Source organism: Homo sapiens, chromosome 8, assembly GCF_000001405.40.
Source record: "Homo sapiens chromosome 8, GRCh38.p14 Primary Assembly".
Taxonomy (NCBI): domain Eukaryota; kingdom Metazoa; phylum Chordata; class Mammalia; order Primates; family Hominidae; genus Homo; species Homo sapiens.
The window spans coordinates 17685559-17698325 of record NC_000008.11 but is presented as its reverse complement, the minus strand read 5'-3'; the positions used below and the strand labels follow the sequence as shown (position 1 = coordinate 17698325).

Sequence of the window (12767 nt, the reverse complement as noted above, 5' to 3'; positions counted from 1 at the left end):
ACTGGCAAAAGATATTCATAACTGTGCCCTCCTCACACTCCTAGTCTTGAAAGACCACTATAAGAGACCACATGATGTTCTATAAATGCAATTACTCATGCAATAAATGTAGTCTTTAGAATATGCCTATCTGATGGACTATTCTTCTGGAACTCTGATATTACATCTGATAGAGAAACCGTATTAATCTTTTACTGTTGATTATTTGTGAGGTCCTCAGCATGTGGGAATTAAAGTTGAACTTTAACCTTTTGACAATCTGTCATTAATATATTAGAATAGAAATTTTCTTAAATATTGTAGTTGAGAACATTTATTGCCTGAAGTCTTTAAAAAAAAAACTTTTCCAAAATACCAGGTTTAAATGTAGTTTACATGTAAAATATCTAGAGAAAAAATGCTCATGTTATCATTGTGAATATAAGGAGTGAAAAATGTTAAAATCAGGACACAGTTTACTTTCAGGAAATCCTAATTTTTTTCTAATTATGAAAGAAACATTAGGCACTTGAAGTAGTTAATTTCCCCTAGCGATCTTTCAAGTGGTTACAGGATCTGTGACATTATTGGTTGTTCTGTAAAGCTCCTGAGACCACCCACTTTCTCCTCCCCTTTACCATCTCGGATGAAAACCATAACAACTCCACAAGCATGCACAGTGTGATGTGGTTCAGAGGCAGCTTCTAGACCTGCAGGAGGGAGATTGTATTCAGAGGAAGAGCATCATTTTGGCAACATCTGAAAGTGAAAACGGAAGCCAGAAACACTTGGCCAGCCCTGGGGGATTTTTTTCTTCTATGCCTCTCTGGTGGAATGACATTTGCTGTGTAGGCATCTTTCCTCTGACTGTATTTCTTGGCCTTGAAGAGTACTGAGTTTAAAAAGACAGTATGTGACAGTCCATGGAAATTGCCTCTTCTGTGAAATCTCGCCACCTGCTCCGAAGACATGTTGTTGTCTCCCAAATTCTCCTTATCCACCATTCACATACGACTGACGGCCAAAGGATTGCTTCGAAACCTTCGACTTCCTTCAGGGTTTAGGAGAAGCACTGTTGTTTTCCACACAGGTCTGTCTCGCATAGATCTCTGTTTAGTGTTGCACGGGGGATGTCTTCATTAATTTGCAGATGTTTATCAGAGGTTTTTCCAAGGAGACAGATAATTGGAGGAAAAAAGCTCTCTCTAATGAGAGATGAGGCTTAATTTAAAAATTGTTTTCTGTTGCTTCAGCACAAGTGCATAGTACTTTTACTTTTGGCAGCAGATTGTGTTGTTTGTGTTGATGGAAGGCAGAATTGTTGCCTTGGTGTTCCCTAGCTCTTTTCTCCATCACCAGCCAAATGTGTGAAAATCAGCACCTGTTAAATTATATTTTAGTTCCAGTGTTTGGGAAATAGGACACAGGTAAATTTAGAAGAATATTTCCTGTTCGCCTGTGTAGATGAGAAGGTTCCCATCGTTTTTCATTGGATAGTTTCTCAGTCAGATTTGACAGTTAATTTTAATATGCTAAAAGATTTCTGTATACTAAACACTTCTGACAGAAAACATCCTAATGGTTATGGGGAAGTAGTAAGTGAATCACAAATCTAGTTTTCCAATCTTCATAATAAAAGTGTGTGCAGTCTCAAAATACTTCCCCTGAGGTTTATGTTTGTATCTGCTTATTATTTTCGGTGCCTAAGATGAAAATAAATTTAGTATATATTTTAGGCACGTGGTGACCTGTCTGCTCACTTTTAGGGCATTGGGTTGGCCTATGTTGCTACTTTTGTCCTAGATGATTTTACAGCTACAGTAAATTAAATCAGTTTTATTCTGTAAAATATGTTAGCTGGGGTGTTTTTATATTTGTTTTGGGCTGAATAGCGTTAGGTGTCACAGGAATGTTTGATGAGGATGTAAATAGATTTTTGTTTCTGCTTCATGTGCACGTGACCCCTCGTGTTTCTTATTTTCCACGTGGCTCATCTCTGTCCCTGGTGATTTGTTTTCAGCTGACTATTTTTAGTTTTCCCAGAGGCATCTCCCTTCTCTGTGGGAGAATTCTCATTTTTTCCAGCACCTCTCTCTCGTGTTTCATAACTCCCCTTGACCTGTCATTTGATTTTGCCAGCCTCTCCCTTTCAGTCTGAGCTGACGGTAAATGGGGGGAGGCAGCGAGGAGGAGGTCAGCAGTGGCCCTCCTCTCCCAGCTCAGGGCCGCTGCAGCCCTTCCAACTGAACAAATTAATAGGGGGGAAAAATAACAAAGGGTGCCCTATATTTGCAATAATTTGTCTGATCTAAAGTAGCTCCAAATAGCTTTTAATTTTAAAGAGTTCTTTTAAAAATACTGTAATCCACGCTCCAAGTTAAAAATCAAACAGTATGGAAGGTTGTGCAGTCCTAGGCAAGCCTCTCTCTTACCCAGAGTCCCTGTCTGCTCTCCGTGGAGACAGCCGCTCTCAGCTGCTTGCATAGTGTTCTTGCACGTTTCCAGTCACATGTAAATCTATGCAGGTCTTTTTTATTCTTTTTTGTTATACAGAAATAAAAGCGTACTATATATTCTATACCTTTTTAAAGTTAATGTGTTTTAGATTTGCATGTGATCACATGTTTATCTACCTCATTAAAAAAAATAGTTCTGTAACATTCCATTATTGGGTAAGTCATGATTTACTTAACCAGTGCTCTAGTAGTAGACATTCTAAGTTGTCTGTAGTGTTGTTGTGAAGCAGATAGCTTTCCAAGACAGCGTAAGCAAACGACACAAGGCTTCTATTACCAGGGTTTAGTTGATAGTGATGTATTGGACACATTTTATTTTCTAAACTTACGTAAAACTATTTTCTGTTTATTTGCAGTCATAATTTTTTGAGCTAGAGTTCACATAGAGGTGATCTAATCTGTCTTATACCAGGAAGTCTGAGGCCCAGAGAAGTGAATTCGCTTGCCCAGAGGCACACAGTAAGTGCCAGAGATAGGACTAAAACCTGGGACTTCTATTTAGAATTTTTGGCGTACATATTTTCCAGCTGCAAATTTTGCTGTAATTTTGTTAGATCCAAGGAATAGCAGGGATGGAGGAAGCGTTTTGTGTGTTGGAGGCTTTTTAAAATCATGTAAGGAATATAATTCTGCTTACTCCCAATATCAGTCTTTGATGGGCTTATCCATGTTATGTCATTTTAACGTCCGAGAAATCGTCCGTCAAGTGGGTAATTCATGCCGTCATGGTGACTCTTATCTGAATGGACTGTCAGCAGTAACTTGGGTTGGTATCCTTAGTGAAGGAAGTGGTGTTGGTTGCCTCAGTGCAGTGGTGTTGACCTGGATCCCAAGAGGCCTGGATTGTAGCCTTGATTCTGCTGGTGACCAAGTGAATAGCCCTGTGCACCTAACCTCACACGGCTACAAAATAAGGGAACCACAAGAGATGACTTCCAGGTTCCCCTTAGCCTCCAAATCTGTGAATTTCTGGCTGAAGATTTGAAAACCCTCAGTGTATTACTCTGCTTGGAAATTCATCTTATCTAAATGATTTGTCTCCTTATTTTTTTACCTCCTAAATTCAGTTAATACTCATGAATTATCTGTTTCTTTTCATGACACCATGTGTCTGGTCATCAAACCCCACCTTTGGTTTTTGTTGTTTTTTTGTTGCTTTGTTTTAGATGGAGTCTCGCTCTGTTGCCTAGGCTGGAGTGCACTGGTGCTGTCTGGGCCCACTGCAACCTCCGCCTCCCAGGTTCAAGCAATTCTGCTGCCTCAGCCTCCCGAGTAGCTGGGATTACAGGTGCCCACCACCATACCCGGCTAATTTCTTTGTATTTTTAATAGAGATGGGGTTTCACCATGTTGGCCATACTGGTCTGGAACTCCTGACCTCAGGCAATTCGCCTGCCTCAGCCTCCCAAAGTGCTGGGATTACAGACATGAGCTACCACGTCTGGCCAAACCTCACCTTTGAATCATTACTTGTCCTGATTTATCCACAATCAATTGGTTGAAAACTCTAAGACTCCATCATTTGAAATCTTGATTTGTTTTTACCACCTGCCATTACCCTAGTCCAGGCATTATCATGTTGAAGCATTGAAACTGCTCTTCCTGGCTGGTGCCACTGGCTCACACCTATAATCCCAGTACTTTGGGAGGCCAAGGGAAGAGAATCACTTAAGGCTAGGAGTTTGAGACCAGCCCTGGAGAGTTAATGAGACCCTGTCTCTATTTAAAAAACCACACACAAAAAATTAATAGGTAAAAAGTGGCCAAATATGAACACTTTTGTATAATAAGTCAAAAGTAGCCAAATAGGAACAGTTTTGTATAATCCAGCCTAAGATGTTGACTGGGCTTTCTGAAGAGCTTAGTATTTGGTCTGTGCCTCCAGCCTTTCCCTTGCTTCTAGACTGTCTTTCACATTACAGATTAATTCATTCGTTTCATAAAGAAGTACCCGTTAGATGAGTACTGTGTACCAGGCATAATGGTAGGTGCTGAAAGTATGACTGGGACTAAGTCCCACATGGACCCTGCCTTCACACAGCCCACTGTTTAACAGAAGGAGACAGAGCACCAGTTAATAATGCAGGGTGTGGACTTGTGCCCAAGCAGCTCTCAGCAGGTGGAGGTACCTTTAATCCAGGTCCTCCAGTAGAAGTGCCTTTTAAGTTGGGTCCTCAGGAAATGGAGAATTTACTAAGAAACAAAGTGTTTCCGACAGAGAAAACAGCATGTAAAAACCTTGAGGGGCTTGAGGAAGGGCTCCTTCAAGGAAACAAAGGAGTTGTAGTATTTCTGAGCATAGAATGTGGTGGGACGGGGGCTGGTCATTGTAGAGATCCGGCCAGAATAAGCTTTCTCATTGATCCCACGCAGAGGGCACTGGGCACTCTGATATATTATTACTGGGTGGTATCCATCACTGGCAAAGCGTGTTGTTGGATCGAGGTTATCTTTCCTCTTTAAACAGGGGAGAGGAGGAAAAGAGTGAATTTGTCAGGAACTGTGCGTGATGTTGCAGGACATTAGGCACAGATGAAAATCTAAGAAGTCCAGTGATGACGTCACTGACATGGAGAAGGGTCAGCAATAGTCTTTTTACCAAAGTATTAAACTCGGTCTATTTCGGAATTCTACCTCAACATATTAGTTCTATTTTTATAATGAGTTAGTGGAGGGAAAAGACTTTGCTAAGAAATATTCCCTGCCACTTAGCATTCAGTTTTTCTATGAAGCTGGAAATTCTTGTATTAATTGCTATGAAGAGTGCCATTTGAACCTCACAGGTTAATTTCCTTCTTGACTCCAGTGAAGGCAATTCAGTACGCTAAAGACAGAATTCTTTCTGCTGAGCTAGTGACATTAAAAGTGATTACTGCAGCGCAAGGGAGGAACATGTGTACGTACGTATCGAGGGATGGCAGAGGTAGTATCAGAACAAAATATTTCCATTTACTTTTGCCATTTTATTTTATTTTGAACTTTTAGGTTCAGGGGTACATGTAAAGGTTTGTTATATAGGTAAACTCATGTCACAGAGTTTATTGTACAGATTCTTGTACAATAAATAGTTTATTGTACAGATGATTTCATCACCCAAGTATTAAGCCCAGCACCCAAGTTATTGTTTTCTGCTCCTCTCCCTCCTCCTACCCTGCACCCTCAATTAGACCCCCATCTGTTGTTTCCCTTCTTTGTGTTCGTGAAGAGAACCGTTTTAAAGAAGTGTTCAGTAACAGGCAGGCAGAATGTGAATGCGTTTGTTTAATTAGGATGAAATTCATCAAATTATGTTCTCGCATTTGGTATTCACTTTTGACTCTTTTTAGATGGAATTAACAGCTTCACTAAGAAGCAACTTGTCTCACCTGAAGAAAAGCAGCTTTGAGGTTGTTCGGTGGCTCTGCCGTGTCAGGAATCCTCATCTCTGCTGTCTTCTTAGCCGTGTCCTCATGATTGTTGCCTCATGATCTCACAGTAGCTGCTCCAGGAAGGAAGAAAAAGAAATGAGGAAGGGGTGGTGCCAGGTCGCTTAAGCTTCCGTCTCATTGGCCGGGTCTTAGTCACATGACTCGACCTGGAAGGGAGGCTGGGAAATAGAGCGTGTGACTTCTCTAGTCTCTGTCCCACAGACAGGTATAAAATGTTATAAGAGCTCTATTGGAATATCTGCCACAGAGAAGGCAGAACAGGTATTTCTCAAGCGGATGTTGGCCGATTATAAATGAGGGGAGTGTATTATTTAACAAGTTGGATCTTGCAACAGGCCTTGCTATTTTTTCTCTATTCTATGCGTTTTGGAGGGGCATTGATTACCTGTGTGTAATGGTTCCATTAAACTTTCAAGTTATTTTGTCGTTTGGACGTAAGTCTTAACATTTGATTTTTGATCTCTTGAATGAATTTTCAGTTATAAAATACATTGGGAAGAATGTGTTCAACTTTAAATGTGGCTTTTGTATGCTTAATATGTTATTAGCGCATTTATGGATGTGTTATGGATTAGGAGGGCATTTATTCATGTACTGTTAAGGTGACAGTAAGTAAACTTCAATTTCTCTTGTGTTTTTCGTACTACAAAATGTAGACGTCAATGAAGCCATATTAGAAAGCTTCCATTAAAAAAAAACACATATATTAGCATTTGCGTGTGAAAAGGTAAAATTCAGGGATTTGTAGAATGTAGAAGAAATCAAAAGGACCAAGGTGAAGAAGAACGAGAGATGTAGTCTTTCACTGCCCCTTAGTTATCTTACTGTGAATCCAGATTCTTCCTTTCAGCCTCCTTGAAAGCAGTCATGAAAGATTTTGCTGGCCTCTTGCCACATAGACAAGCATTTGCTAAGAACTGGTGTGATGAATGGCATGATGCTGAAAACGTTTTGTCGTGGATTGATTCCAAGCTTCGGTAGCTGTGGCGGTTTTAGAGCTGTAGCTTTGCCGTGACATGAATATCTGCCCTTTTGTAGTTACAGCTTTCAATTGAAGAAGACAATAAAGTGTTGAATGGCAAGTTTTGCTCACAATAGGTAAGATTTTGATAAGTTTTTAAAAGTGAGATGTTGAAAGGGACAGTATGTCCTAATTTGACAAGTTTCAGATAACTAGAGTTTTACTACACTAAATTATGTTTTAATGTAGTATCTACTTTTACACAAAAATGGAAAGTAAGTAATAAATTACGGTTTAGAGTTGCATTCAGAATGGGAAGGATAGCAGTGTTTTTCATCAAGAGACACTGGAGGAATATGGCAAGCTGTATATAAGTAAATACTTGTTTTGTTAGAACAATTTATTCTGGTTAATTAATAGATAATTACCCTATAAATTAATGTAATGATGCTTTTTATGAGCTTTAAAGCCTCTTTCAGAGCTAAGAATAATATTTTATTAATAGTATATGCATATTATTTTCTTAGAAACACAACAGGTGTGATTTTAGAGGTATCTAATATTGAATATCATATTTCTGTATTTATCTTAGGCAATACTTTGGGTCATTTTAGTACACGAGGGTCCTTTTTATAAACATCAGCAATTATGTGGCTCTGTGGAAAATTAAGAGTAATAGAGCTTTCTTTTGGGGTGAGAGATTTGCCTTTTTTCTCCCTGGTGACCTGAGTCCTAGGCACGTTTCTTCCAAATTGCTTGTCGACAGTTTAGTATTTTGAGAATGATGTTCTCTTTTTATTTATTGTTTGTATTGTAAATATTTCTAATGTTTAATGTTTTAATTGGCTATTTTAATTTTCATTTCTGTTATAAGATAGTCTGTGTTTTTCTTTTCCTTTGGGAAGATACCCAGCAGTGGGATTGCTGGGTGAATGGTAGTTCTATTTTTAGTTCTTTGAGGAATCTCCATACTGTTTTCCATAGAGATTGTACTAATTCACAGTCCCACCAACAGTGTATAAGCATTGCCTTCTCTCCACATCTTTGCCAACATCTGTGGTTTTTTGACTTTTTGGTAATAGCCGTTCTGGCTGATAGGAAATGGTATCTCATCGTGGTTTTCATTTGCATTTCTCTGATGATTAGTGATGTTGAGCATTTTTTCGTATGTTCTACTTTTTCCATATGTTGGCTGCTTCTGTGTCTTCTTTTGAGAAACATCTGTTCATGTCCTTTGCCCATTTTTTATTGGGGTTGTATTTTTTCTTGCTAGTTGCTAGCGTTCCTTGTAAATTCTGAATATTAGATCTTTGTCAAATGCATAGTTTGCAAATATTTTCTCCCATTCTATAGGTTGTCTGTTTCCTCTGTTGACTGTTTCTTTTACTGTGCAGAACCTTTTTAGTTTAAGTCCCATTTGTCTATTTTTGTTTTTGCTGCATTTGCTTTTGAGATCTTAGTCATGAATTCCTTGCGTCGGCCAATGTTGTGAAGAGTTTTTTCTAGTTCCCTCCCCCCACCCAGGAATTTTTATTTTTTCAGGTCTTACGTTTAAGTCTTAAATCTGTCTTAATTTTTGCATATGATAAGAGATAGGTCTCCAGTTTCTCTGTTCCAATTTTCCCAGCACCATTTATTGAATAGGGTGTCCTTTCCCCATTGTATGTATTTTTGCTGACTTTGTCAAAGATCAATTAGCTGTAAGCATGTGGCTTTATTTCTGGGTTCTCTGTTCTCTTCCACTGATCTATGTGTCTATTTTTAGACCAGTGCCATGCTTTTTTGGTTGCTATAGGAGAGAGGCAATGCCTTCTTAAAAGTACTTCTGAATGTGGTGAATTTATATTAACTCTTCTTTGAGTTAGGAGTCCATTTTAGGTACATAAGAGTATGAGAAATTTGGTTTTTTCCTGCCAGCTATATGGAAAATAGTTTAGGGCAAGTTTGGACTGTTGCTTCAGGAAAAATTTTATAAGCGTAATTAACCCAAACAGGAATTTTTTATATGAATATGCTTTCTATTCTCGAATATGCTTTCTATTCTCTAATCTGCTTTTAATGTGAAGAAAAGAAGTAGAACCCTTTTTGATATAATATGAGCTATTGCAACGAATTCTACCAATATAGTAATGAAAAGTTTAAATGGTGAGGCATCCTAAATCCTCCTCCCTCCCCCTACAAATAATTGGGCTTGGCTTGGGGTTTTTTGTTTGTTTGTTTGTTTGTTTTTGAGAACGGAGTCTTGCTCTGTCACCCAGGCTGGAGTGCAGTGGCGTGATCTCGGCTCACTGGAACTTCCACCTCCCGGATTCAAGTGATTCTCCTGCCTCAGCCTCCCGAGTAGCTGGGAGTACAGGCAGGTGCCACCACACCCAGCTAACTTTTTGTATTTTTAGTCGAGATGGGGTTTCACTGTGTTAGCCAGAATGGTCTCAATCACGTGACTTTGTGATCTGCCCGCCTTGGCCTCCCAAAATGTTGGGATTACAGGTGTGAGCCACCGCACCCGGCCTGGCTTGGGTAATTCTAAATGTCTAAACACTGTGCTTTGCTGAGCTTAAAATTTTCCATTTTCAGTAAATGCCATGTCTACCTAGAAATAGAAAAATATTATATGTAAATAGAAAAATATATGTCTCCTAAATTATTACTGTTAACTCTTTTAGAGTAAACAGCTAATGAACACTAGAAAACTTTATACAAACATAAACTAATAATTGACATGAATGGTAACTTTAAAAAACTGTATGTAAGATTGCATAGGCAGGATAAGCACCTGCCACCAGATGCTGGGGAAACTGACTGAAAGAACTTCTGTGTCAGTGTCCCTGTGAGGGCTTTTAGATGTGTACGATTAGATTAAGGCAGAAAAAAGGGAATTTTCTGTCTGTCCATGCCGCTAGCAGAGAGAGACCTCTCACTAGCTTCTGAGTTCATAACCTATGTTTTGTCAACCCACAAACATCGGTTTTTAATGCAATATGTTGTAGAAAGGACTTACCATCCAGTCAGTGACTGTCACCTTTTTACAGATAGGTTGAGATTTGGAGTTGAAGAGCTGAGCACTAGGGAAACATGAGTCAGCAGAGATCTTTGGTGTCTTTGTGCCTCTCTGAGCAATACCACCCTCTTATGTGATACTTCTCCTGTCCCCGCAAAGCACCAGGGCAGGTGCACACCCACCACAGCAGTGCCCTCATGGTAGATTTTAATAAATATATTTCATGAGTGAGTGAGTAGGTCAGTGAGTATACACAAAAGTGGACAACGTTCGTTTCCAAATTCTGTGTTTAGTTTGTGTTTCACGGAACCCAAGGCAAACTCCCTCAGTAGGTCTGGTCTCTAACTTGATTTTAATAATTGGAAAAGCCAGCAGATTGAGGAAATGTGTGGCTTCTTCAGCCTAGAATGAATGTGTCCTCAGCTGCTAGTATGTGGTTACGGTTAGTCCATGTCTTAATGGTTAGGTTTTTCTCTCAAAATTGTTTTTGGTCTTGGGATTTGGAGGTCTATTTGCCTAAGTGATTTGAGCCTGAGAAATGGGCATCTTCCTCATTAACCAACTACTTTCTTTAAGAAGATGATACATGACTTCATTGCACTAGTTTTAAATCTTATTAAATTGAGGTTTCTGAATAGAAAGAACAAAGATAGCCAACAGGGTCATCCAGCTGCTTTCCAAATGAGCAAATGTCTTTGGTTCTGGCCTTCGTTTTCCTGATGGAGGCTGCCATTTCATTAGAATGAGTCCCAGTAAGGCTGGATCACAGCTGATGGTGGTAATTATCTTGTTGAGATAAATCTGAATCGATATAGAAGTTGACGTTTAATTTTAAGGTTTCTGATTAAATTGGCCCTTTAAAATCAGAACATGTTCTGTTAATAGGTACAGTAAACAAAATAATTTATACTTCTGTATAAAACCTTTGTTATCAAAACAGTAACATGCTAATAAGCAAGGGTAAGGGCAAAGTTTGGCTGATAATATGCTAATTTCACGTTAGTAATGAATCCTGCAGGATTTAAGGGAACCCCTGGCTTTTCAGTACTGTGAAGTACGTATTGATGAGCCTTGGGGTTTTGAGCGTCATTGGAGATTTTTGCATCATCTCTGATCTTCAGCTGAGCCAGGAGTGCTGAGAGTGGGAAGCATGTGGAAACTGGGTCATCGGCTGCCATGCGGTCACACTTCATCCTTAGGGAGCACAGTATATGGAGCGGAAGATGGTGACTGCACAGCACGAGTTTCCAGCGCCACGGAGAGGGCAGTCTGTTGGCTCATTTGCTCTCATTTTAAAATTTGAAGACACGTACTCTTAGACGAATACATCAATGTGTTCTTTCCTCCTTAATCATAAAGCTATCCTGAGTAATCACTTACAAACCCTGCGTAATGTTTAGATTCCTGTGTAGTTTCCCCAAGGAAAAATTCTGCATAGACTATTTCCTTCATAGCTAAGTATTATATAAAAAATGTATGTCCTCGAATTTCACTTTAACTGTCTGTTAAAAGTGATTTTATTTACTTCTTATATTTAACTTTTGAATAGGTAATATATTTACCCCATGGTTAAAAAGTATAAAAAATGCTTCAGGATACTTTTTAGCTGTCTGATTCCTATTACCTTCCCTTCAAAAGTAAACATTGTTAGTACAATTACATGTATTCTGTGATATTTTTGTTACGGATTTATAAGCAAAAAGCAAGAATCTTGAAGAATATTTTCTCCAAAATATTAATATAAAAGACTCACCTCTCAGATTTTGTAAATAATTATAAACCAACAGTTTTAAAGCTCTGAAATTGTGTTAAAAATAGCGTTGATTAGCATAGAAATTCTAGAAAGAGAGGCAAATGTTACTCAGGACTCAGGAAATGATAAAGGAGTTATCAATAAATGAATTTTTAAGTAAGTTTCGGTAGGACATATACAAATGATATCAGGAGAATGAACTGTGTCTATATTTGTTACAGTAAATTCTAGATAGTGAAAGAATTTGAACATTTTTGTTTATAAAGTTATATAACACATAGATGTTTATATGTAGGTTTGTTAAAATGAGTTATCAGATAATGGGCTTATATGTATTATAGCAAGATATTATTACATTTGTTGCATAAATATTTATTTTTATGTATGTCATATATTACATCACCACCTAATCCGCTTTCCAAAATGTGTGGGAACAGAAGAGGCTTAGCATCAGAGGCCTGGGTTCTGACTTTGAATCTGGATTCCCATAGAAGTTGTCTACATCCAGGGAAGACATTCACACCTGTGAGCCTTCTCTTCCCTATCTGGGGTTATTGGGAGGATGAAAAGAAAGGGAAAGTGAGAGCACACTGTGATGAGCGAAACACTGTGGAATTGTTATGTGTTATGTGACAATTTCTAAAAACATTTAGGAAATGACATGAAAGAATGCTAATCTCATGGTCAAATATTTAGATTATTTTTCATTAGTATGTAACTAATAATTTGTTCTTCCTTCAGGGCTGTAATATTACGATATTAACTTGGCTATTTTCTACATCTATGCAAGTGACAATTATTCATAAGCTACTACTAATAATTGCTAATAATAAAGAGTAATGGATAAATACTTCCTCTCATCAAGTATTACAGAGACACAGTGGGACAATGGATATTTTAGTGATTTTAGAACTGAGAATTATCAAGTATTAATACAAATATGACTTATTTAACCATGTAATGCAGCCATAGAAAATAAGAGCCTTTTTTTCCCTGTTTTTAACTTAGTTTATTCAATATATTTAGCCATTTGTTCTTAGAAAGTGAGTACTGATGTTTCTTTAAGCAATCACTGTAGTAGCTTGCCTTTTCCTGAAAAATTAGAGACAGTAATTACTAAATTTCTTTA

General features: G+C 38.3%; 1 protein-coding gene across 12 annotated transcripts in view; it reads left to right on the top strand.

Moving 5' to 3' along the window:
• MTUS1 (microtubule associated scaffold protein 1) overlaps positions 1-12767 on the top strand; it is a 157720-nt gene that overhangs the window by 103196 nt on the left and 41757 nt on the right. Inside the window, exon 1 of one of the 12 annotated variants that reach the window (NM_020749.5) lies at positions 656-1069. The exons of the other annotated variants lie outside the window; for them this stretch is intronic. Within the exon in view, the coding sequence (NP_065800.1) occupies positions 949-1069 (121 nt within the window). The 5' untranslated portion in view covers positions 656-948. Of the gene's footprint in view, positions 1-655; positions 1070-12767 lie in introns of those variants that run through there. 12 annotated transcript variants of the gene reach the window in all.